Source organism: Homo sapiens, chromosome 19, assembly GCF_000001405.40.
Source record: "Homo sapiens chromosome 19, GRCh38.p14 Primary Assembly".
Lineage (NCBI taxonomy): Eukaryota > Metazoa > Chordata > Mammalia > Primates > Hominidae > Homo > Homo sapiens.
This window is the reverse complement of record NC_000019.10, coordinates 17351455-17378399: the sequence shown is the minus strand read 5'-3', so window position 1 is coordinate 17378399 and position 26945 is coordinate 17351455. Positions and strand designations below refer to the sequence as shown.

Here is a 26945-nt window from a genome sequence, read left to right as displayed (position 1 = left end):
AGGCACAGACATGCGAGGCCTCTTGCCCGAGCTCTCCCGGGACAAAGCCAGCTCTTCCCCGCTCCAAGTTCATTATTCCTTGTGCTGCAGTTTCCTGGAGCATTTACTGAGCATCTAAGTGAACAGGGCACTGGGGGCAATGACAGAGCTTGGGGAGCCAGCGCCACCGCCATCCATGGCTCAGCCCTCCGTGACGCCCTCCTATGCAATTACTAATCACCTACTGCTTCTCCATCCCTAGGCTAGCTAAGAGTTTCACACTTTTTCTGTTTTTTTTTTTTTTTGAAACAGAGTCTTGCTCTATACCCCAGGCTGGAGTGCAATGGCACGATCTCTGCTCACCGCAACCTCCGACTCCTGGGTTCAAGCGATTCTCCTGCCTCAGCCTCCTGGGTAGCTGGAATTACAGGCGAGCACCACCACACCTGGCTAAGTTTTGTATTTTTAGTAGAGACGGGGGGTTTCACCACGGTGACCGGGTTGGTCTCAAACTTCTGACCTCAGGTGATCCGTCCGCCTCAGCCTCCCAAAGTGCTGGGATTATAGGCGTGAGCCACCGTGCCTGGCACATTTCCCACGTTTTGTGGCACTTAATCAGCACCGCCCTGGTGAAGTGGGTGCACGTCTGTAGCCAGCCTGTCTTGAGGTAAGTCAAGTTCGCTGAACTAACAGCGTGAGACCCCGAGGCAACCCCTTCTCCTCCCTGTGCCTCAGTTTCCTCCGCCACACAAGGGAGACAGCAACAGACCTGGCATGATTCAGCGACCTAATCACAGCAGGTACTGAGAACAGCACCCGCCAGCAAGTAAAGGCGAACGCGAGGCTCGAAGAGGCCAGGAATGCCTGACCAGCCAGCCAGCGCCCCACCCAGCATTAATCAGAGGGGTCCAGCCGGTGCCCTGGCTCTGGGCCCCCAGCCCCACCCCCGCCTTCTCACAGCCAGAGTGGGAGTGTTGTGATAACCCGCAGCCCCCGTTTCCTCCGGGCCAGGAAGGAGCCAGGCAGAGGAAGTATTAAGAGGAGTAATATAAGCACTCCCCCCTGCGAGGCGGGGGCCAGAGCAGGCCTGGTGGTGAGCAGGGACGGTGCACCGGACGGCGGGATCGAGCAAATGGGTCTGGCCATGGAGCACGGAGGGTCCTACGCTCGGGCGGGGGGCAGCTCTCGGGGCTGCTGGTATTACCTGCGCTACTTCTTCCTCTTCGTCTCCCTCATCCAATTCCTCATCATCCTGGGGCTCGTGCTCTTCATGGTCTATGGCAACGTGCACGTGAGCACAGAGTCCAACCTGCAGGCCACCGAGCGCCGAGCCGAGGGCCTATACAGTCAGCTCCTAGGGCTCACGGCCTCCCAGTCCAACTTGACCAAGGAGCTCAACTTCACCACCCGCGCCAAGGATGCCATCATGCAGATGTGGCTGAATGCTCGCCGCGACCTGGACCGCATCAATGCCAGCTTCCGCCAGTGCCAGGGTGACCGGGTAAGGCTGTGGGCAGGACACTCGCCCTGGGGACCCTGAGCAAGCCCCCTCACCTCTCTGAGCCTGAGTTTCCTCATCCAAGAGAGGGGGACGATCACAGGACCAATGCTCTCTTTTCTTATGAGACAGAGTCTCGCTCCGTCTCCCAGGCTGGAGTGCAGTGGTGCAATCTCGGCTCACTGCAACCTCTGCCTCCTGGGTTGGAGTGATTCTCCTGCCTCAGCCTCCCGAGTAGCTGGGATTACAGGCATGTGCCATCATAACCGGCTCATTTTTGTATTTTTAGTAGAGATGGGGTTTCACCATGTTGGCCAGGCTGGTCTCAAACTCCTGACCTCAAGTGATACGCCTGCCTTGGCCTCCCAAATTGTTGGGATTACAAGCGTGAGCCACTGCACCCGGCCGATAGATTTTTTTTTTTTCCTTAAGAGACAGGGTCTCCATGTGTATCCTGGGCTGGATGGAGTGCAATTGCTATCACAGCTCACTGCAACCTCAATCTCCTGGACTCAAGTGATCCTCTTGCCTCAGCCTCCTGAGTAGCTGGGACTACAGGCGTGCACCACCACACCCAGCTAATATGTTTATATTTAGCAGAGATGAGGTCTCACTATGTTGCCCAGGCTAGTCTCGAACTCCTGGGCTCAAGCAATCCTCTCACCCCAGCCTCCCAAACTGCTGGGATTACAGGTGTGGGGCACTGCGTCCAGCTAAATTTTTTTTATTTCTTTTCTTTTTTTTGGAGGCAGGGTCTCACTCTGTCACCCAGGCTGGAGCACAGTGATGTGAGCATAGCTCACTGAAGCCTTGACATCCTGGGCTCCAGCAATCCTCCTGCCTCAGCCTTTTGAGTAGCTGGCACTATGGACATGCCACTATGCCCAGGTCATTTTTTATTTTTAGTAGACGTGGGGTCTCGCTATGTTGATCAGGCTGGTCTTGAACTCCTGGGCTCAAACAATCCTCCCTCCTGGACCTCCCAAAGTGCTGAGATTACAGGTGGGCACCACCACACCTGGCAATTTTTTTTTTTTTTTTTGAGACGGAGTCTCGCTCTGTCACCCAGGCTGAAGTGCAGTGGCACAATCTCGCCTCACTGCAACCTCCACCTCCCAGGTTCAAGTGATTCTCCTGCCTCAGCCTCCTGAGTAGCTGGGATTACAGGCGTGTGCAACCATGCCAGCTAATTTTTGTATTTTTAGTAGAGACGGGGTTTCACCATGTTTGCCAGGCTGGTCTCAAACTCCTGACCTCAAGTGAGCCACCCACCTCGGCCTCCCATAGTGCTGGGATTACAGGCATGAGCCACCGTGCCCTGACCTGGTGCCCTGGCTAACTTTTTTTTAGAGACAGAATCTCACTATGCTGCTGAGGCTGGTCTTGAACTCCTAGGCTCACCCTCCTAAAGTGCTGAGATTACAGGCATGAGCCACCATTCCCAGCCAGCAACATTTTTTTTAAACTGTAAGTATATTCCATGCAATATTTGAGATATAATTTTGAAAATAATATTCATTGTCTTTTTGGAATCCAAGTTTAATTCTCCTCCTGTGTGTTAATTGGCAGTCCTGAGCCCATAACTTACTATGCATGAAGCTCCCAGAATGTGCCAGCACTAATCAAAGGGGTCCAGCACACACAAGCTGCAAATAAGTGGCTGAAGACCGGCTACAGTAGCTCACACCTGTAATCCCAGCACTTTGGGAGACCGAGGCAGGAGGACCACCTGAGTCCAGGAATTTGAGACCAACCTGGGCAACATGGTGAAACCCTGTCTGTACAAAAAGTACAAAAATTAGGCCAGGCATACTGGCTAACACCTGTAATCCCAGCACTGTGAGAGGCCAAGGTGGGTGGATCACTTGAGGTCAGAAATTTGAGACCAGCCTGGCCAACCTAGTGAAACCCCGTCTGTACTAAAAATACAAAAATTATTAGCCGGGTATGGTGGTATGTGCCTGTAGTCCCAGCTACTCGGGAGGCTGAGGCAGGAGAATCACTTGAACCTGGGAGGCAGAGATTGCAGTGAGCCGAGATCTCACTACTGCACTCCAGCCTGGGCAACAGAGGGAGACTCTGTCTAAAAATAAATACATACATACATACATACATACATACATACAAAAATTAGTCAGGCATGGTGGCACATGCCAGTAGTCCCAGCTACTTGGGAGGCTGAGGTGGGAGGATCACTTGAGCCCAGGAGGTCAAGGCTGCAGTGAGCCAAGATAGTGCCACTGTACTCCAGCCTGGGCGACTGAGTGAGACCCTGAATGGAAAAAAAAAAACAAAAAAAGGATGGACTGAATAAAAGTTCACAGTGTTTTGTTCCTGTTCAATTCTAGCATGTATAAACAGTCCATATTTGCTGTATGCTGGGTGTTGAATTTAGAAATATTAACTCATTGCCAAATCCCGGGAAGTAGGGAGAAGCTTTTGTTGTTTTGTTTTGTTTGAGATGGAGTCTCACTCTTTCACCCAGGCTGGAGTGCAGTGGCGCAGTCTCGGCTCACTGCAAGCCCCACCTTCTGCGTTCATACCATTCTCCTGCCTCAACCTCCTGAGTAGCTGGGACTACAGGCGCCCGCCGTCATGCCTGGCTAATTTTTCTATTTTTAGTAGAGACCGGGTTTCACTGTGTTAGCCAGGATGGTCTGGATCTCCTGACCCTGTGATCCACCCGCCTCGGCCTCCCAAAGTGCTGGGATTACAGGCGTGAGCCACCGTTCCCGGCTGTTTTGTTTTATTTTGTTTTGTTTGAGACAGGGTCTCCCTCTGTTGCCAAGGCTGGAGTGCAGTGGAAGGTCTCGGCTCACTGCAACCACTGCCTCCCAGGCTCAAGCGATTCTGTTGCCTCAGCCTCCCGAGTAGCTGGGATTGCAGGTGCGCCCCACCATGCCCGGCTAAGTTTTGTATTTTTAGTAGAGATGGGGTTTCACCATGTTGGCCAGGCTGGTCTCAAACTCCTGCCTTCAAGTGATCCACCTGCCTTGGCCTCCCAAAGTGTTGAGATTACAGGAGTGAGCCATTGCGCCTGGGCAGCAGAAGTTTTAAACCCTTTGCAGGCAGGAAAGTGAAGGCATGAGAGGGGAGGTGACTTTCTTGAGGTGGCAGAAACAGGCGGGCTCTCTGGGCAAAGTCACAGCTGCAAATCTGGGGTCTCCTGGAGACCATCGCGCCACTCTCGCACCCCGGCTTGTGTCAAACTCACTAGACAATTATCCCCGTGTTCTCAGACACAACTTCATCCAGGGGGTGTCCCGCCTGCCCTGAGACATTGTGGGGAGCAGGTGTGGGGCTCTCTCCTTAAGGGTGAGGTGGGTGAGAGATGGGAGGGTGGGGTGAGGGAAGGCTGAAGAGGCAGCTTCAGGGTCTTCCAAGGAGGTGACCTGGCTGGCCAGGGCCCAGGCAGTGGCAAAGACAGACCTCCCATAGGACCTCAGACCACCCAGCCGTCCGCACTGGGCAGGAAGGTAAGCTCAGCCCCCTCAGTCCTGCTCAAGGCAGAACTCAGTCTCCTCACCTCAGACCCCTAATGGCGGGGCCCTACCTCCACCTCAACCCCTCGCCCAGAGCCCCAGGGGTAGGGCCCTGTCTCTATCCGCCAAAACCCCGGGGCAAAGCACCGTCTCCCCAGATGCCCAGAGTATGGTAGGTCTCACCTCAGCCCCCCAAGATGGGGTGGAACACCCCTCAGTCCCCAGGGCATAACTGTGCCCCTCCCTCAGACCCTCCCAATAGGGTCCTGCCTGCCCCTTAGATCCTCAGATTAGAGCCCTGCCTCCCCTCTCAGACCTGAACCTGGCTAACTGGTGTCTTTTCTTTCTTTTTTTTTTTTTTTTTTTTTTTTTTTTGAGACAGAGTCTAGCTCTGTCGCCAAGGCTGGGGTGCAATGGCGCGGTATCCACTCACTGCAACCTCTGCCTCCTGGGTTCAAGCAATTCCCCTGCCTTAGCCTCCCGAGTAGCTGGGTCTACAGGTGCCCGCCAACATGCCCTGCTAATTTTTTTTTTGTATTTTTAGTAGAGACGGGGTTTCACTATGTTAACCAGGATGGCCTCAATTTCCTGACCTCGTGATCCGCCCGCCTTGGCCTCCCAGTGCTGGGATTACAGGTGTGAGCCACTGCACCTGGCCTGTCTTTTCATTTAAAAAAAAATTATTGGCCGGGTGCAGTGGCTCACACCTATAATCCCAACACTTCGGGAGGCCGAGGTGGGTGGATCACTAGGTCAGGAGATCGAGACCATGCTGGCTAACACAGTGAAACCCCGTCTCTACTAAAAATACGAAAAATTAGCCAGGTGTGGTGGTGGGCGCCTGTAGTCCCAGCTACTCGGGAGGCTGAGGCAGGAGAATGGCATGAACCCGGGAGGCGGAGCTTGCAGTGAGCCGAGATTGCGCCACTGCACTCCAGCCTGGGCGACAGAGCGAGACTCCGTCTCAAAAAATAAATAAATAAATAAATAAAAACATTATTTAATTATTTTATTATTATTATTACTATTTTTGACACAGAGTTTCACTCTGTCGCCCAGGCTGGATTGCAGTGGCGCAATCTCAGCTCCCTACAACCTCTGCCTCCCGGGTTCAAGTGATTCTCCTACCTCAGCCTCCCGAGTAGCTGGGATTACAGGCACCCGCCACCAAACCCAGCTAATTTTTTGTATTTTTAGTAGAGATGGGGTTTCCCCATGTTGGCCAGGCTGGTCTGGAACTCCTGATCTCAGGTGATCCACCTGCCTCAGCCTCCCAAGACACCTCTTCTCTATAAAAAATAAACTAAAAATTAAAAAAGAAACTTAAAAATCACATCCTTTTTTTTTTTTTTTTTTTTTAGAGACATGGTGTCACTACATTGCCGAGGCTGGTCTCGAACTCCCAGCCTCAAGCAGTGTTCCCACCTCAGCCTCCTAATGACTAAGGCTTTTGAGAACAGAAGGCATTCCCCATGTCCCCCCAGGACATTCACCCAGGGCCAACTGCAAAAGGATGAAGGACAGAGAGTTGCAGAAAGACAAACTCTCCTGATTCTTCATGTCTTATTATATTTCTGCAGAGGGTTCTCTTCCAAAGTTTGAAAGGCATGGCTTTAGTTTGTTAAATTGTGAACACTTTCTTTAAAAACAGCTTTGCTGGCCAGGCGTGGTGGTTCACACCTGTAATCCCAACATTTTGGGAGGCCAAGGTGGGTGGATTGCTTGAGCTCAGCAGTTTAAGACCAGCCTGGGCAACATGGTGAGACCCCATCTCTATAAAAAATTAGCCAGGAGTGGTGGCACGTGCCTGTAATCCCAGCTACTTGAGAGACTGAGGTGGGAGGATTGCCCGAGCCTGGGGAGGCTGAGGCTGCAGTGAGCTGTGATCACACCACCACACTCCAGCCTGGGTGGCAGAGTGAGACCATGTCTCAAAAAAAATAAAATTAAATTAAAATAAAAATAGCTGGCCGGGCGTGGCAGCTCACGTCTGTAATTCCAGCACTTTGGGAAGTCAAGGCAGGAGACTGAGGCCAGTGGATCACTTGAGGTCAGGAGTTCGAAACCACCTGGCTAACATGGTGCAACCCCGTCTCTACTAAAATACAAAAATTAGCTGGTCATGGTGGTGCACCCCTGTATTCCCAGCTACTTGGGAGGCTGAGGCATGAGAATCACTTGAACCCAGGAAGTAGAGGTTGCAGTGAGCTGAGATCACACCGCTGCACTCTAGCCTGGGCCACAGAGCGAGACTCCATCTCAATAATAATAATAATAATAAATAATTTTTAAAAACAGCTTTATTGATATATAATTCATGTATTTTACAATCCACCTATTTAAAGTGTACAATTTGATGTTTTTGTTTGTTTGTTTGTTTGTTTTGAGATGGAGTCTCGCTCTGTCGCCCAGGCTGGAGTGCAGTGGCGCGATCTCAGCTCATTGCAAGCTCTGCCTCCCAGGTTCACGCCATTCTCCTGCCTCAGCCTCCCGAGTAGCTGGGACTACAGGCGCCCGCCACCACGCCTGGCTAATTTTTTGTATTTTTAGTAGAGATGGGGTTTCACCGTGTTAGCCAGGATGGTCTAGATCTCCTGACCTCGTGATCCGCCCGCCTCGGCCTCCCAAAGTGCTGAGATTACAGGCGTGAGCCACCGCGCCCAGCCAATTTGATGATTTTTTTGTAAATTCACAGAGTTGTACATTGATCACCACGATCCATTTTAGAACATTATTTTAGAACATTTTCACCTTCCCAAAAGAAAACCCACGTCCCCATCAGCAGTCACTTCCCATTCCCCTCCCCCAATCCCTGACAGCCACCAACCTGCTTCCTGTCTCTATGGATTTGCCTGTTCTGGGCATTTCATGTCAGTGGAATCTCACATTCTGTGGCCTTTTGTGTCCGGCTTCTCTCACTTAGGCATCATGTTTTTGGGGTTCACACACACTGCAACATGGATCAGTGCTTCCTTCCTTTTTATGGCTGAATCATGTTCTATGTATGGAAGGAACACATTTTGTGCGTTAATTCATCTGCTGACAGGCATTTGGGTTCTTTCCACCTTTGGCTACTGTGAATCGAGCGGCTGTGGACATTCCTGGCAAGTTGATGTGAGGATGTGTTTCCATTGCTCTGGGTATATGCTGAGAAGTAGAGTTTCTGGGTCACGTGGTAACTATGTTTAACATTTTGAGGAACTGCCAGACTTTCCCAAAGCCGTTGCAACATTGTACATTCTCACTAGTACTGTCTGAGAATTCTGATTTCCCCACATCCTCATCAACACCTGTTACTGTTCATTTTGGGGGTTTATGGGTTTTTAAAATAGCCACCCTCGTGGGTGTGTAGTGGTATCTCACTGTGGTCCTGATTTGCATTTCCGTAATGGCTAATGATTTTGAATATCTTTCTTTTTTTTTTTTTTTTTTTTTTTTTAGACAGACTCTCGCTCTGTCACCCAGGCTGGAGTGCAATGGTGTGATCGTGGCTCACTGCAACCTCCATCTCCCGGGTTCAAGCAATTCTTCTGCCTCAGCCTCCCAAGTAGCTGGGATTACAGGCACCTGCCACCAGGCCTGGCTAATTTTTTTGTATTTTTAGTAGAGATGGGGTTTCACCATGTTGGCCAGGCTGGTCTCGAATGCCCAACCTCAGGTGATCCACCTGTCTTGGCCTCCCAAAGTGCTGGGATTATAGGTGTGAGCCACCGCGCCCAGCCGATTTTGAATGTCTTTTGATATGCTCTTTGGCCATTTGCATATCTTATTTAATTTAATTTTAATTTTTCTTTTTTTTTTTTTTGGACATAGAGTCTCACTCTGTTCCCCAGGTTGGAGTGTGGTGGCACAATCTCATCTCACTGCAACCTCCGCCTCCCGGATTCAAGCGAGTCTCCTGGCTCAGACTCCCAAATAGCTGGGACTACAAGCATGCGCTTCCATGCCTGGCTAATTTTTGTATTTTTAGCAAAGATGGGGTTTCGCCATGTTGGCCAGGCTGGTGGTGGGCAGATCACTTGAGGTTAGGAGTTCGAGACCAGCCTGGCCAACATGGCGAAACCCTGTCTCTACTAAAAATACAAAAATTAGCCAGGTATGGTGGTGCACACCTGTAATCCCAGCTACTCGAGAGGCTGAGGCTGGGGAATCACTTGAACCCGGGAGACGGAGGTTACAGTGAGCCGAGATCGTGCCACTGCACTCCAGGCTGGGTGACAGAGCAAAAAACCCTGTCTCAAAAACAACAACAAAAAAAAAAACAAAAAAAGGTTTTTTTTAAAGACTGTTGTTTGCCTCATGAGATGGTGTTAGCATTTGTATTAATTTGCTAGGGCTTCCATGACAAGGTATTACAGACTGGGTGGTACCAAGATCAAAGTGTTAGCGGGGTTGGTTCCTTCTGAGGCTGTGAGGGAAGGATCTGTTCCAGGTTTTTGTTTGTTTGTTTGTTTTTTTGAGACGGAGTCTCGCTCTGTCACCCAGGCTGGACTGGAGTGCAGAGACGCGATCTCGGCTCACTGCAACCTCCGCCTCCCCGAGTTCAAGCAATTCTCTGCCTCAGCCTCCCCAGTAGCTGAGATTACGGGTGCCCACCAACATGCCCTGCTAATTTTTTTGTATTTTTAGTAGAGATGGGATTTCACCATCTTGGCCAGGTTGCTCTTGAACTCTTGACCTCGTGATCCACCCGCCTTGGCCTCCCAGAGTGCTGGGATTACAGGCGTGAGCCACCATAGCCGGCCTGTTCCAGGTCTTTCTACTTGGCTTGCAGGTGGCATCTTCTTCCTGTGTCTGCTCTTGGTCTTCCTTCTGTCCGTGTCTCTGTGTCCAAATCTCTTCTCTTTATAAGGACATCAGTCATGTTGGATTAGGACCCACCCTAAGGACCTCACCTTAACTTAATTACCTCTCTAAAGACCCTACTTCTGCCAGGAGAGGTGGCTCACGACTATAATCCCAGCACTTTGGGAGGCCGAGGGGGGCGAATCACCTGAGGTCAGGAGTTTGAAACCAGCCTGGCCAACATGGTGAAACCCTGTCTCTACTAAAAATACAAAAATTAGTTCGGCCGAGTGCGGTGGCTCACACCTGTAATCCTAGCACTTTAGGAGGCCGAGGTGGGCGGATCACCTGAGGATGGGAGTTTGAGACCAGCCTGGCCAACATGGAGAAACCCTGTCTCTACTAAAAAATACAATATTAGCCAAGCATGGTGGTGCGTGCCTGTAATCCCAGCTACTAGGGAGACTGAGGCAGGAGAATCACTTGAACTCGGGAGGTGGAGGTTGCAGTGAGCCGAGATCATGCCATTGCACTCCAGCCTGGGCAAAAAGAGCGAAACTCCGTCTCAAAAAAAAAAAAAAAAAAAAAAAATTAGCCGGGCAGGGTGGTGGGCCCCTGTAATCCCAACTACTCGGGAGGCTGAGGCAGGAGAATCACTTGAACCCGGGAGGCAGAGGTTGCAGTGAGCTGAGATCGAGCCATTGTACTCCAGCCTGGGTGATAGAGCGAGACTCTGTGTAAAAAAACAAAAAACAAAAACAAAAAAACCCTACTTCTAAATACAGTCACATTCTCAGGTACTGGGGATACAGTTGAGCTCATAGCAGCATCCTTGTCCAAATCAGTTGACCATAGCCAGGCATGGTGGTGCACACCTGTAATCCCAGCAATTTGGGAGGCTGATGGGGGAGATCGTCACCACCCTGGTAAACATAGTGAAACCCCATCTCTACAAAAACAAATTTAAGGCTGGGCATGGTGGCTCACGCCTGTAATCCCAGCACTTTGGGAGGCCGAGATAGGCGGATCACCTGAGGTTGGGAGTTCAAGACCAGCCTGACCAACATGGAGAAACCCCATCTCTACTAAAAATGCAAAGATTAGCCGGGTGTTGTGGCGCATGCCTGTAATCCCAGCTACTCAGGAGGCTGAGGCAGGAGAATCGCTTGAACTCGGGAGGCGGAGGTTGCAGTGAGCCGAGATCGCGCCATTGCACTTCAGCCTGGGCAACAAGAGCGAAACTCTGTCTCAAGAAAAAAAAAAAAATTTAAAAATCAGTCAGGCGTGGTGGCACAGGCCTGTAGTCCCAGCTACTGGGGAGGCTGAGGCAGGAGAATCACTGGAACCCAGGAGTTCGAGTCTGCAGTGAGCTATGATCACTCCACTGTACTCTAGCCTGGGCAACAGAGTGAGACCCCATCTCTTTAAAAAAAACAAAAAAATTCAGGGCTGGGAGGCCCTGGCAGTTGGATTCTTTGAGCTCAGGAGTTCAAGACCAGCCTCGGCAGCATGGTAAAACCCCCATCTCTAAGGAAAATACAAAAAATTGGCCAGGAGTGGTGGCGCATACCTGTAGTCCTAGCTCCTCGGGAGACTGATGCAAGAGGATTGCTTGAGCCTGGGAGGTCAAGGTTGCAGTGAGCTGAGATCAGGCCACTGCACTCCAGCCTGGGTGACAAAGTGAGACCCTGTCTAAAAAAAAAAAAAAAAAAAAAATTCGAGCCGGGCACAGTGGCTCAAGCCTGTAGTCTCAGCACTTTGGGAAGCCGAGGCGGGCAGATCACCTGAGATCAGGAGTTCAAGACCAGCCTGGCCAACATGGTGAAACCCTGTCTCTACCAAAAACAAAAAAACAAATTAGCCAGTCGTGGTGGCAGCCACCTGTAATCTCAGCTGCTTGGGAGGCTGAGACAGGAGAATTGTTTGAATCTGGGAGGCAGAGGTTGTGGTGAGCCAAGATTGCGCCACTGCACTCCAGCCTGGGCAACAGCAATAGGAGTGAAACTCCATTTCAAAAAAAAAAAAAAGAAATTCAGTTGACCATAAATGTGGATGTAATATTTTTAAAGTTCATCCATGTTGTAGCATGTATTTATACTTTGTGTCTTTTTATTTCTGGATAGTAGTAACTGTAAAAGCTTTTGAAGATCAGACAAACATCCACTATATTTTTGTTTATTTATTTTTGTTTGTTTGTTTTATTGAGATGGGAGTCTCACTATGTTGCCCAGGCTGGTCTCAAACTCTTGGGCTCGAGTGATCCTCCCACCTCAGCCTCCCAAGTAATTGGGATGACAGGTGTGAGCTGCCACACCTGGCTTCTAACATTCCCTCATAAAGGGACCATGCCCTTGTGAACTCAGCTCACTCTGGCCACCAGGGTGCTCGATCTGGGTCCAGGCAGTCCTGGGGGCAAGACACTAAGCTCTGTCCTGCGTCCTTCCCCTATCTTCCGGGCAGGTCATCTACACGAACAATCAGAGGTACATGGCTGCCATCATCTTGAGTGAGAAGCAATGCAGAGATCAATTCAAGGACATGAACAAGAGCTGCGATGGTGAGTGCTAAGGCTGCAGGGAGCCGGGGTGGTGGACTCCCTGCCCAGTGCTCTCGGCAGCCCCCAATCTTCCTGGGTCTCCTGGTCCTGTTTTCCTTAGCCTTGCTCTTCATGCTGAATCAGAAGGTGAAGACGCTGGAGGTGGAGATAGCCAAGGAGAAGACCATTTGCACTAAGGATAAGGAAAGCGTGCTGCTGAACAAACGCGTGGCGGAGGAACAGCTGGTTGAATGCGTGAAAACCCGGGAGCTGCAGCACCAAGAGCGCCAGCTGGCCAAGGAGCAACTGCAAAAGGTGCAAGCCCTCTGCCTGCCCCTGGACAAGGACAAGTTTGAGATGGACCTTCGTAACCTGTGGAGGGACTCCATTATCCCACGCAGCCTGGACAACCTGGGTTACAACCTCTACCATCCCCTGGGCTCGGAATTGGCCTCCATCCGCAGAGCCTGCGACCACATGCCCAGCCTCATGAGCTCCAAGGTGGAGGAGCTGGCCCGGAGCCTCCGGGCGGATATCGAACGCGTGGCCCGCGAGAACTCAGACCTCCAACGCCAGAAGCTGGAAGCCCAGCAGGGCCTGCGGGCCAGTCAGGAGGCGAAACAGAAGGTGGAGAAGGAGGCTCAGGCCCGGGAGGCCAAGCTCCAAGCTGAATGCTCCCGGCAGACCCAGCTAGCGCTGGAGGAGAAGGCGGTGCTGCGGAAGGAACGAGACAACCTGGCCAAGGAGCTGGAAGAGAAGAAGAGGGAGGCGGAGCAGCTCAGGATGGAGCTGGCCATCAGAAACTCAGCCCTGGACACCTGCATCAAGACCAAGGTGGGCTTGCAGGCCCCAGAGGGAGGCTGCAGTGGAGTTAGGTCCAGATGCCAAGAGGGTGGTGGCGATTTGAACTTGGAGTTGGCTTTGAGGATGGCTTCCTGGTCTAGGTTGGGTGAGTTACAACTCTCTAGGATCAGGCATTAGGATCAGGATAGAGCTTGGAATGGGGATGGCATTGAGAAGAGTGTAGGGTTAAGAATGGAATTAGAGTGCCGTGCGCAGTGGCTCATGCCAATAATCCCAACACTTTGGGAGGCCAAGGTGGGTGGATCGCCTGAGGTCAGGAGTTCGAAACCAGCCTGGCCAACATGGCAAAACCCCGTCTTTGCTAAAAATACAAAAATTAGCCGGGCGTGGTGGCGGGCACCTGTAATCCCAGCTACTCAGGAGGCTGAAGCAGGAGAATCGCTTGAACCCGGGAGGTGGAGGTTGCAGTGAGCCAAGATCGAGCCATTGCACTCCAGCCTGGGTGACAAAACAAGACTCCATCTCAAAAAAAAAAAAAAAAAAAAAAAAAAGACTGGAATTAGAGGTAGGGTGGATATCGGGTCTAGGGTTGGGTGAAGGGTTGGATCTAGAATTTCTGTTGCTTTTGGGTTTGGGTTGAGTTGAGGCATGGAGGGTGGATTTAGGATGGATACTGTGATGACCTGTTGGTGGCTGTCCGCCCTACAGATGGTTATAGGATTGTAGTAATGTGGATGGAGAAGTTTATTGGCATTAGGATTAGGGTAGAGTTTGGAATTAGGAATGACATTGAGAAAGGATTAAGAATTGAGGCTGGCTGGGCTTGGTGGCTCACACTTGTAATCCCAGCATTTTGGGAGGCCAAGGTGGAAGGATAGCTTAAACTCAGGAGTTCAGACCAGCCTGGGCAACATAGCAAGACCCCACCCCAGGCTGGGTGTGGTGGCTCACGCCTGTAATCCTAGCACTTTGGGAGGCGGAGGCAGGTGGATTGCCTGAGCTCAGAGTTTGAGATCAGCCTGGGCAACACGGTGAAACCTCGCCTCTACTAAAACACAAAAAATTAGCTGGGCGTGGCGGCGTGCGTCTGTAATCCCAGCTACTTGGGAGGCTGAGACAGGAGAATCTCTTGAACCCAGGAGACAGAGTTTGCAGTGAGTCAATATCATGCCATTGCACTCCAGCCTGGGTGACAGAGCGAGACTCCATCTCAAACAAACAAACAAACAAAACACAAAACCCCATCCCTACAAAAAAAATACAAAAATTAGGCCGGGCGCGGTGACTCATGCCTGTAATCCCGGCACTTTGGGCGGCCGAGGTGGGTGGATCATGAGGTCAGGAGATGGAGGCCATCCTGGCTAACATGGTGAAATCCCGTCTCTACTAAAAATACAAAAAAAAATTTAGCCGGGTGTGGTGGCGGGCGCCTGTAGTCCCAGCTACTCAGCAGGCTGAGGCGGGAGAATGGCGTGAACCCGGGAGGCAGAGCTTGCAGTGAACCAAGATCACACCACTGCACTCCAGCCTGGGTGACAGAGCAAAATTCTCTCTCAAAAAAAAAAAAAAAAAAATTAGCCGGGTGTGGTGGCACACACCTGTAATCCCAGCTACTTGGGAGGCTGAGAAGTGGGAGGATTGCTTGAGCCCAGGAGGTTGAGGCTGCAGTGAGCCGGGATTGCACCACTGCACTCCAGCTTGAGTGAAAGACCAAGGATGGGAGCAACAGACATCTGGGGTTCCAAAATGGGAAAGGGTGGAAGGGAGGGGGGAAGGGGTTAAAAACCTACATTTTGGGTACTGTGTTCATTGCTTGGGCAATGGGACCATTAGAAACCCAGACCTCTACGACCAGGCGCGGTGGCCCACACCTGTAATCCCAGCACTTTGGGAGGCCAATGTGGGCGGATCACCTGAGGTCAGGAGTTCGAGACCAGCCTGGCCAACATGGTGAAACCCTGTTTCTACTAATAATACAAAAATTAGCCAGGCTTGGTGGCAGACACCTGTTATCCCAGCTGCTTCTTGGGAGGCTGAGGCATGAGAATCGCCGGAACCCAGGAGGCAGAGGTTGCAGCGAGCCCAGATCGCACCACTGCAACTCTAGCCTGGGTGACACAGCAAGACTCCGTCTCAAAAAAAAGAAACCCAAACCTCTGCATCATGCAATATACCCAGTGTAACAAACTGGCACACATCCCCACTGAATCTAAAATAAAATAAAATCTGCTCCCAATTCTAAAAACGAAAAATGAAAGAATCGAGGCTGAGTTTGAGCGTAGGGAGCTGGTGGGTTCTTTTACGGCTGGGATGAGGATTGGGGTTAGGGTCGGAGTTAAAATCCTGTATTTGAGTTGTGTTGAGGAACCGGGGAGTTGGTTTAGTGTTGGGAGTGATACTGGGGTGAGGATGCCTAGAGGAAGAGTTGATGTGAAGGTTGAACTCGTGTTTAAGTTGGGCTGAGATGAGTTTTTGGTCACTGCTGTATCTGGAGCTGATTTGAGTTAAGGTTAGGATTTCACTTAGGATTTCACTGATTTTAGAACTGGGGTTGAATTTGGAATTTGGATGGTGAGAAAAGCTTGCAAATTGAGTCAGGGATGCTTGTAGGGGGTGAGGTTGGGTGAAGAATGATCTAGGATCTCAGTTGCTTCGGGACTGAGTTGAAGCACTGAAGCTGGATTGGAGGCTCTGGTAGCTGGAGGTGGCTGGTCGGTATAGAGATGCTTAGAGGTTGCAGCCAAGGGTGAATTTTGGATTTCACTGGCATTGACATAGGGATTGGTATTGACAATGGGTTAGGAGTTGAGGTTCGGTTGGTTTAGGGTGACTGGTGGAAGGTTGAGTGGGCTTGGAGTTGAGTTGAAGGATTGGGTGACCCTGGGTTATGGCTGGGGACATTGGGGTTGAGTGACGATCAGGGCTGGGTTGAGAGGAAAATTTGGGGTAGATGCCAATCTCGGGGTGGAAGTGGGTTGAGGTGGATTTGGGGTAACTGACCAGCTTAGGACTGTTTCGGGTTAACATCAGGGGCTCCATAGGGCCTTAGGATTGGAGTGAAGTTTGGGTTGGGATTGGAACTGAGGGTGGGTTTAGGATGGGAGCTGGGCAGAGGCTGGGGTCTGGGGTTGAGGAGGTTGAGCATGACATTGCACAAGTGTTTGTAGGAGGACATGTTGGAGCACAGGGCTGGGGCTGGGGAAATGGATATTTTCTCTTTTTTCTTTTTGAGACAGAGTTTCGCTCTGTCACCCAGGCTGGAGTGCAGTGGTACAATCTTGGCTCACTGCTACCTCCGCCTCCCAGGTTCAAGCAATTCTCCTGCCTCAGCTTCCCCGAGTAGCTGCGACTACAGGTGCCCGCCACCAGGCCCGGCTGATTTTTTTTTTTTTATTTTTTTTTATTTTTAGTAGAGATGGGGTTTCACCATGTTGGCCAGGCTGGTCTCGAACTCCTGACCTCAGGGGATCTGCCCACCTCGGCTTCCCAAAGTGTTGGGATTACGGGCGTGAGCCACCACGCCTGGCCCGAAACGGGTATTTTCATAGAGGTTGGGTCAAGAGAATGGTTGGAGTCAGAGTGAGATCTGAAGATATGGTCAGATCCAGTTTATAATTAGGACTGGGTTTAGGCTGAGGCTTGATTCTAAGGGAGATTGACTTTTCACGTTGGGATCAGATTTTAGGTGATTGAGTTCAGAATTGGCTTTGGATTTCAGGTTTTGGGGGATTGGCTCAGGGATATTCCAGGGGTGGCATTTAGGATCGGGGTCCAGTTAGTCTACACGGTAGGTTGGCTTCAGTCTGAAGGGGGCTGTGGTGGGTGAGTAGACTCCGATGGGGTCTTGGGTTGGAACTGGATTCACCCTGAGGCTGTGATGGAGACAGGGGTAGGCCAGCTCTGCAGCATGGGGCCTCAGGACTGCCGAGGTGATCAGTCCCACAAGTCCCCAAGCCATCTTGTGGTGTCCCCAAGTCTTGTGGTGCGTGCAGGTGATTCTATGTTCATGACCATGTATGTCTTTCTACATGGGGTCTGTTACCCTGCCCTGGAAGGACTTTAGAGACGATGGTCTTGAAGGGCATGAAAGCACAGAACCTGGCCGGGTGCAGTGGTTCATGCCTGTAATCCCAGCACTTTGGGAGGCCGAGGCAGGCAGATCACCTGAGGTCAGGAGTTCGAGACCAGCCTGGCCAACATAGTGAAACCCCAGCTCTATTAAAAATACAAAAAATTAGCCAGGCATGGTGGTGTGTGACTGTAGTCCCAGCTACCCAGGAGGCTTAGGCAGGAGAATCGCTTGAACCTGGGAGGCAGAGTTTGCAATGAGCCAAGATCACACCACTGCACTCCAGCCTGGGCAACAAGAGCGAAACTCCGTCTCAAAAAAAAAAAAAAAAAGAAAAAGAAAAGAAAAGAAAAGGCAGAAGCCTGTCTGGGAAGCCCTGGCTCCTACCAACCTCCCTCCATCTTTCTTTCACAGTCGCAGCCGATGATGCCAGTGTCAAGGCCCATGGGCCCTGTCCCCAACCCCCAGCCCATCGGTGAGTGACAAAAGACAGAGCCAAGTAGGGGAGGGGCCCCTTTCCACCTCGAACCCCACCCCAGCCCCACTTTCCCACTCCCCTGGGCTGCCAGCCCATCCCTAGCCCAGGGGCAGGGGCAACTGAAGCTGTAGGTCAAGCCTCACCTCTCTCCCTCCACAGACCCAGCTAGCCTGGAGGAGTTCAAGAGGAAGATCCTGGAGTCCCAGAGGCCCCCTGCAGGCATCCCTGTAGCCCCATCCAGGTAAGGCACTGGGCAGACTGCAGTTGTTCAGTCTTAGAACTGTGGGCAAAGCTAGGACCAGGACTGAGGGTGGAGGGAGGCTGATCTCACACTTGCTTCTTCCTTAATTGAGCACCTGCTGTATACTAGGTCATGTATGGTTGGGCGTGAGGGACACAGCAGTATCCAAGACACACCCAGTCCTGTCCTCATGAAACTCCCTGAGTAGTGGGTTAGACAGTGTCATGATGGGACTACCAAAGAGCCTACAATTATTAGGCACCTACTGGGAGCCCCACGCAGTTCTAAGTACTTTGCAAGATTAATTCATGTAATCTTCACAACTTAACAATAATAGTAGGGCAAACCACTATTCTACCCACTTTCCAGATGAGGAGAGTGAGGCACAGAGAGGGCATGCCCTGTACCCCAGGGAGCACAGCAGAGCTGGGACATGAACCCAGGCCATCGGACCCCAAACAGGCAAGAGAGAGCCTTGGTGAGGAAGAGCTGGAGCATGAGGAGCTGGCCTCAGGGAAAGCAGGGGGAACAGTGTTCTAGGCAGCAGGAACAGCCAGGCCAAAGGCCTGGAGGCTGGACGGGGGTGAGGGAAGGTAATGAGCAGAGGGAGAGAAGGGGGAGTGGCATCCAGGAATGAATCCTGACCTTTACTTTCTAGAAAATGAGTCTCAGCTGGGCACAGTGGCTCATGCTTGGAATCCCAGCTACTCAGGAGGCTGAGGCAGGAGAATTGCTTGAACCTGGGAGGCGGAGGTTGCAGTGAGCCGAGATCATGCCACTGCACTCCAGCCTGGACGACAGAGTGAGACTGTGTCAGAAAAAAAAAAAAAAAAAGAGGCCGGGTACGGTGGCTTACGCCTGTAATCCCAGGCCGAGGTGGGCGGATCATGAGGTCAAGAGATCAAGACCATCTGGCCAACATGGTGAAACCCCATCTCTACTAAAAATACAAAAAGTAGCTGGGCGTGGTGGTATGCGCCTGTAGTCCCAGCTGCTTGGGAGACTGAGGCAGGAGAATCACTTGAACCCGGGAGGCAGAGGTTGCAGTGAGCCGAGATGACACCATTGCACTCCAGCCTGGGAACAGAGCAAGACTCTGTCTCAAAAAAAGAGAGGCTGGTTGCAGTGGCTCACGCCTGTAATCCCAGCACTTTGGGAGGCTGAAGCGGGCGGATCACTTGAGCTCAGGAGTTCAAAACTAGCTTGGCCAACATGGTGAAACCCTGTCTCTACTAAAAAAAAAAAAAAAATACAAAAATTAGCCGGGTGTGGTGGTGGGCACCTGTAATCCCAGCTACTCCGGAGGCTGAGGCAGGAGAATCACTTGAACCCGGGAGGTGGAGGTTGCAGTGAGCCAAGATTGAGCCACTACACTCCAGCCTGGGCAACAAAAAATAAAAATAAAAATAATAAATAAAAAAGAGTCTCAGCTAGGCACTGTGGCTCACACCTGTAATCCCAGCACTTTGGGAGGCCGAGGTGAGAGGATTGCTTGAGCCCAGGAGTTCAAGACCAGTCTGGGCAACATAGCAAAACCCCCTCTGTACAAAAAATACAAAAATTACCCAGGTGTGGTGGTGCGCACCTGTAGTCCGAGCTACTCAGGAGCCTGAGGTGGGAAGATCGCCCGAGTCCAGGAGGTGGAGGCTGCAGAGAGCCAAGATCGCATCCCTGCACTCCAGCCTGGGAGACAGAGTGAGATCCTGTCTTGGAAAAAAAAAAAAGATAGTCTCTGAAGTCAAGGGCCTGGAAATGCTTTGCTAATTGCAAGGTGCCATCCAAAAATGACCGGAGCAAGGGACTAGGGGCCTCTGTAGGAAGCAGCAAGGGCTCCTGGCACACGCTCAGGTCATGGCTTGCTGCCTGTGCCCCCTGCCTCCTCCCAGAGTCAGTCACTTCTCAGAGGGTGGCCTGTGCGTCACAGGGATGGTGACTCAGGCCACCGCCCCAAGAATAGCCTGTGCTCTCTCTGGGGTCCTGCTACACCACTGACGGAGGAGTCAGGGCCTGGCATTGCTGTTTGCAGTTTAGGACCCGAGGCTCAGGAAGGCACCAGAACTTTAAGTCAGATCCCTTTGACCCCAACCACTGTGCCTATGACCATTTTGCCACGGAGCTATTGTCATTCTGGGTCTGTTGCAGCCTCAGAGGGCTAATATGGGATTTCTGGCCAAGTAGATTTCCGAAAGCTTTGCCGCCAACTCCCCAGGATGCATCATGTCCAGCTCCATTTCCACCTCTTCTTCTTTTTTTTTTTTTTCCTTCTTGCATACCCTCTCCAACAGGGAGCTCACTCCCTCGCCAAGCTGTCTCTCAACCCCTTTGCTCTAGATGGCTCTGTCTGGGAGAAAGTTCTCAGCCCTGAGCAGCCCACAGGGAGGGAAACAAAAAGGTGAGGAGGAGATTCCCCGCTCCAAGCAAACACAATTTTCCTCTCTCCATCTTGGCCGAAAGCCCTCATGGCAAGGAAGGAGGTTCTATTATTATCCCCACTTCTCAGAGGAGGAAACTGAGGCCCCAGGGAAGTGAGCAGCCTGGGGTCACACAGTGGAGAATCAGGGCCAGGCCCGGGCTCCCAGCCCAGGACTGTCAGGGCCTCGGCTGAGAACCAGGGAAGCTCTTGACATTGTTTACCCCGAAATGACGTCCACCTGCCGAGAAAACAATGTGTACTTAAGCCTGGACCTTGCCTGCTTCTCTCCTCACGGTCGCAGGAAGGGCTTCTGGCCTGCTGGCTTCTGCCCTTGACTCGCCTTCCCCTGAGAGAGGCCGGGGGCAAGTGGGCTGGGGCTGTCTGCTCTGGGTTAACTGGGCAACTTGGGGAGAGTCACTGGAATTTTATTTTTTTAATCATTATTTTTTTCGAGACAGGGTCTTGCTCTGTCACCCAGGCTGGAGTGCAGTGGCACGATCATAGCTCACTGCAGCCTCGAACTCCTGGGCTCAAACAATCTTCCTGCCTCAGCCTCCCCAGTGGTTGAGCCTACAGGTACACTCCACCATGCCTAGCTAAATTGTTATTTTTTTGTAGAGACAGGGGTCTTGCTATGTTGCCCAGGCTGGATTTGAACTCCTGGCCTCAAGTGATCTTCCTGCCTCGGCCTCCCAAGTAGCTGAGTCACTAGAATTTTAGATGCACCTAATGAGGTGCTGGGACAAGACTCAGCATTAAATCACCCACCTCATGCATCGGGAGAGTTGATTTTTCCTTTTCCACTCCTTTTTCTTTTTTTTGAGATGGACTCTCACTCTGTCTCCTAGGCAGGAGTGCAGTGGCGCAATCACAGCTCACTGCAACCTCCGTCTCCTGGGTTAAGCAATTGTCCTGCCTCAGCCTCCTGAGTAGCTGGGATTACAGGAGTGTACCACCACACCTGGCTAATTTTTGTATCTTTTTCTACAAAATTTGTAAAAATTTTGGGGTTTCACCATGTTGGCCATGCTGGTCTCAAACTCCTGGCCTCAAGTGATCCGCCCTCCTTGGCCTCCCAAAGTGCTGGGATTAGAGGTATAAGCCACCCCCTCCGGCCTCCACTCTTACTTCTTCTTCTTTTGTTTTTTTGTTTTTGAGACGGAGTTTCTCTCTCGTTGCCCAGGCTGGAGTGCAATGGCCCGATCTCAGCTCACCGCAACCTCCACCTCCTGGGTTCAAGTGATTCTCCTGCCTCAGCCTCCCAAGCAGCTGGGATTACAGGCATGCGCCATCACGCCCGGCTAATTTTGTTTTTTTAGTAGAGACGGGGTTTCACCATGTTGGTCAGGCTGGTCTCGAACTCCCGACCTCAGGTGATCCACCCACCTCAGCCTCCCACAGTGCTGGGATTACAGGCGTGAGCCATCACACCCGACCCACTCTTATTCCTTCTAAGCCTTGATAAAATCTCAGTTTAGTGGGACAAAGTGGCTCACGCCTGTAATCCCAGCACTTTGGGAGGCTGAGGAGGATGAATTGCTTGAGTCTAGGAGTTCAAGTCCAGCCTGGGCAACATAGCAAGTCCTCGTCTCTAAGAGAGAAAAAATAAAATTCTCATTAATATAGTGTTTAGTTTAAAAAAATAAAATAGACAAAGCCTTAGCTGGTATTAACTTGCTCTAACGGCTTCCAGACACTTGCGCATCTCCCGTGTTCCCAAATCGATGGCCGACGCAGGGCCCCACATCAGCTGGGCTTCGGCGTGAGGTCTTGCTCTTATGGAAAAAAAATCTTTCTTTTTCTTTTTAGATGGAGTCTCACTCTGTCGCTGGGCTGGAGTGCAGTGGCGCAATCTCTGCTCACTGAAACCTCTGTCTCCCGGGTTCAAGCGATTCTCATGCCTCAGCCTCCCGAGTAGCTGGGATTACAGGCACGTGCCAGCATGCCCGGTTATTTTTTGTATTTTTTAGTAGAGACAGGGTTTCACCACATTAGCCAGGCTGGTCTCGAACTCCTGACCTCAGGCAGTCCGCCCGCCTTGGCCTCCCAAAGTTCTGGGATTACAGGCATGAGCCATGGTGCCCGGCCTATGGAAAATTTTAAAGTCATTTTCTGTTGGTGATGTGTGCGCCAGCTTTCCTTTACTTGATGAGACTGAGTGTCCCTTCCTGCAGATCACATGAGGCAGAGCAAAAACAAAAACAAACAAAAAAAGAAGTAGAGACTGAGTGTCTTTGGAAATCAATGTAAGTTTCTTTAAAAACGATATAAAGACAGTAATGGCTGGGTATGTTGGCTCACACCTGTAATCCCAGAACTTTGGGAGGCTGAGGCGGGCAGATCATGAGGTTAAGAGTTCAAGACCAGCATGGCCAACATGGTGATACCCTGTCTCTACTAAAAATACAAAAAATTAACTGGACATGGTGGAGTGTGCCTGTAATCCCAGCTACTCGGGAGGCTAAGGCAGGAGAATTGCTTGAACCAGGACCTGGGAGGTGGAGGTTGCAGTGAGCTGAGATTGCACCACTGCACTCCAGCCTGGGCTACAGAGCGAGACACTGTCTCAAAAAAAAAAAAAAAAATTAACCAGGCATGATGGCATGCACCTGTAGTCCCAGCTACTTGGGAGGCTGAGGCAGGAGGACTGCTTGAGCCGAGGAGTTCAAGGCTGCAGTGAGCTATGATCACGCCACTGCACTCCAACCTGGGTGACAGAGGAAGACCCTGCCTCTAAAACGTTTTTTAAATGGCAAATATTAAGTAAATCTTGGTCCAGGAGCTATGTGGCTGAATATGGCAAAAATTGCAATGGGAAGAGCTTTTTTTAAAAAAGATTTTATTATTTATTTTATTATTATTATTATTATTATTATTATTATTATTATTTTGAGATGGAGTCTCACTCTGCCACCCACGCTGGAGTACACTGGTGTGATCTCAGCTCACTGCAACCTCCACCTCCCAGGTTCAAGCAATTCTCCTGCCTCAGCCTCCCGAGTAGCTGGGATTACAGGTGCCCGCCACCAGCCTGGGTGATTTTTTTTGTATTTTTAGTAGAGATGGCGTTTCACCATGTTTACTAGGCTGGTCTTGAACTCCTGATCTCAGGTGATCTGCCCGCCTCAGCCTCCTAAAGTGCGAGGATTACAGGCTGGGCCACCACACCTGGCCAAGATTTTATTTTTATTTTTAATTTTAATTTTTTTTTTTTTTTGAGACGGAGTCTTGCTCTGTCACCCAGGCTGGAGTGCAGTGGCACGATCTCGGCTCACTGCAAGCTCTGCCTCCCGGGTTCACGCCATTCTCCTGCCTCAGCCTCCTGAGTAGCTGGGACTACAGGTGGCCACCACCACGCCCGGTTAATTTTTTGTATTTTTAGTAGAGGCGGGGTTTCACTGTGTTAGCCAGGATGGTCTCGATCTCCTCATCTCGTGATCCGCCTGCCTCGGCCTCCCAAAGTGCTGGGATTACAGGTGTGAGTCACAGCGCCCGGCCCTTTTTTTTTTTTTTTTTTTGAGACAGAGTCTCGCTCTGTTTTCCAGGCTGGAGTGCAATGGTGCCATCTCGGCTCACTGTAACCTCTGCCTCCCAGGTTCAAGTGATTCTCCTACTTCAGCCTCCCGAGTAGCTGGGATTAAAGGCATGCACCACCACACCCGGCTAATTTTTGTATTTTTAGTAGAGACGGCGTTTCGCCATGTTGGCCAGGCTGGTCTTAAACTCCTGACCTCAGGTGATCCGCCCACCTCCGTCTCCCAAAGTGCTAGGATTACAGGTATGAGCCACTGCGCCTGGCATTATTTTCTTAATCTTTTTTATTTTTTGAGAGAGTCTTGCTGTGTTGCCCAGGCTGCAGTGCAGTGGTGTGATCTTGGCTCACTGCAACTCCCACCTCCTGGGTTCAAGCAATTCTCATGCCTCAGCCTCCCAAGTAGCTGGGATTACAGACATGCATCACCAGGCCCGGCTAACTTTTGTATTTATAGTAGAAATGAGTTTTCACCACATTGGCCAGGCTGGTTTTGAACTCCTAGCCTCAAATGATCCCTCCACCTCGGCCTCCCAAAGTGCTGGGATTACAGGCATGAGCCACCGCGCCCGGCCGTATGGGCTTAAGATGGGAGTCCAGCCCTGGCTCTGAGCTGGACACGTGGTTAATGTTGTTCAAGTTCACTGTTAACGCCTCTGATGATTCGTGTGTCCATTCGAGCCGTATTTATTGAGCAGCTGCTGGTAACCGGGCATGGTGCTGGGTGCTGGGAACAAGGCACAGAAACCCGCTGCCCTCATGGGGCTCACAGTCTAGTGGGAGAGATGGATAATAAATTAGATGAACGGGTCACTCAAGGGTCCTTTGGTGATGGGCGAGACAGAGAAAGGGGCAGGAAGCGTAAGAAGGTTGGAACTTTCTACCAGAGACAGGGCAGGCTACACCGAGGAGGTGATATTGAAGCAGAGACCCAGAGGAGGTGAGGGAGGAGCCATGGGGGGATCCCAGGAAGGGTGCACCAGACAGAGGACACAGCCAGGGCAAAGGCCCCAAGGTGGGACCGTGCCTTGTGTGTTTGAGGGAAGAGGCCGGTGTGGCTGGAGTGGAGTGATGGAGGGGAACGGGAGGAGGAGGTGAGGGCAGGGAAGTGATGGGAGCTGATCAAGCCCTGCCTGTGGCTGCTGTGAGGACCTGAGCAGACGGGGGATGTGCATGACCCAGTTCAAGCATCCACAAGTTCCTCTGGTCACTGTTGGGGAACAGACTACGGGACAAAGAGCTGGGGACCAGGACAGAGGGATGTGCATTGACCCAGTTCAAGCAAAGATGGAGCCTTGCAGGCTGGCAGCAGGGACAAGAGCTGGGTAAATGCTGGTTGAGGATGGAGTCTGGGGCCAGGGCCAGGGCCCAGAGCCAACCAAGGAACGTGAGGCCACTCGGGCCCCAGGGAAGAGCCGGGGAAGGAAGGGAGAGGACCAGCGGAAGCGGGACTTAGCCACAGCCCCCTCCTCCCCCAGCAGGAAACAGGCTCTAAGCCAACCCCTGACCCCTCGCAGGAACCTCTGCCAGGCCCAGGAGGGGGAGGGCATCCCAGATAGCAAGACAACTCCGATCGTGCAAAGGCGGTGGGGCCGGAGGGTGCGGAAGCAGTGTGATGGCTCTTGGAATTGTTGGGTCTTTGGCACAGCAGGAGTCCCTGATGGGGAGGCCTGGCAGGGGCAGAGGGGTGGAGCCCTGAATGCCACGTTGTAAGGTTTGGACTTTCTCCTGAGGGCACTGGGGAGCCATGGAGGACATGTGAGCAGGAGCAGGCAAAAGAGGGAGACCGAAGCCTTGCCTTGGGAACCAGTGTAGGGGTCTGGGGGAGCAGAGGCTTTGGGGTAAATTCTCAGTATCCCCAGAATGTTGGGAGGCACTGGGGAGAGTCAAACAAGCTGTAGCAGAGGCTTGGGGCTCGTGAAGTGTGGCCACTCTGAATCTCAGTCTCTTCATCTGTATAATGGGGAAGAACACACCTCAGTCTCACCATTCACCATCCTGGGGAGGTTCAACACATGAGCGTCTCATGGAGAGGCTGAACCCGAAGGAGCCCTGGGGTTCTGAGGAAGAAGTAGGGGCCCAGGGTGGTAGGAGGCAGGGCCGGGGTCCCCAGGATGTTGTGTCCCCGCTGAGGACGAGCCTCCAGGGCCCGGCGAGGTTTGCCCTTCCCTCTGTCTGACACTCTGTTGTGTTACCATCCCCTTCCTGCCCTAGTGGCTGAGGAGGCTCCAGGCCTGAGGACCAAGGGATGGCCCGACTCGGCGGTTTGCGGAGGATGCAGGGATATGCTCACAGCGCCCGACACAACCCCCTCCCGCCGCCCCCAACCACCCAGGGCCACCATCAGACAACTCCCTGCATGCAAACCCCTAGTACCCTCTCACACCCGCACCCGCGCCTCACGATCCCTCACCCAGAGCACACGGCCGCGGAGATGACGTCACGCAAGCAACGGCGCTGACGTCACATATCACCGTGGTGATGGCGTCACGTGGCCATGTAGACGTCACGAAGAGATATAGCGATGGCGTCGTGCAGATGCAGCACGTCGCACACAGACATGGGGAACTTGGCATGACGTCACACCGAGATGCAGCAACGACGTCACGGGCCATGTCGACGTCACACATATTAATGTCACACAGACGCGGCGATGGCATCACACAGACGGTGATGATGTCACACACAGACACAGTGACAACACACACCATGACAACGACACCTATAGATATGGCACCAACATCACATGCACGCATGCCCTTTCACACACACTTTCTACCCAATTCTCACCTAGTGTCACGTTCCCCCGACCCTGGCACACGGGCCAAGGTACCCACAGGATCCCATCCCCTCCCGCACAGCCCTGGGCCCCAGCACCTCCCCTCCTCCAGCCTCCTGGCCTCCCAGCCACTTCCTCACCCCCAGTGCCTGGACCCGGAGGTGAGAACAGGAAGCCATTCACCTCCGCTCCTTGAGCGTGAGTGTTTCCAGGACCCCCTCGGGGCCCTGAGCCGGGGGTGAGGGTCACCTGTTGTCGGGAGGGGAGCCACTCCTTCTCCCCCAACTCCCAGCCCTGCCTGTGGCCCGTTGAAATGTTGGTGGCACTTAATAAATATTAGTAAATCCTT

At 51.9% G+C, this 26945-nt stretch overlaps 1 protein-coding gene across 1 annotated transcript; it reads left to right on the top strand.

Annotated features, from left to right (window-relative positions):
- Positions 1–1057: 1057 nt before the first annotated feature.
- On the top strand, positions 1058–26945 carry PLVAP (plasmalemma vesicle associated protein). The gene is made up of 6 exons (NM_031310.3): positions 1058–1480; positions 12205–12301; positions 12402–13114; positions 17568–17628; positions 17791–17872; positions 26032–26945. The coding sequence occupies exons 1-6, from the start codon at positions 1112–1114 to the stop codon at positions 26036–26038; spliced, it is 1329 nt and encodes a 442-aa protein (NP_112600.1). The 5' UTR covers positions 1058–1111; the 3' UTR covers positions 26039–26945.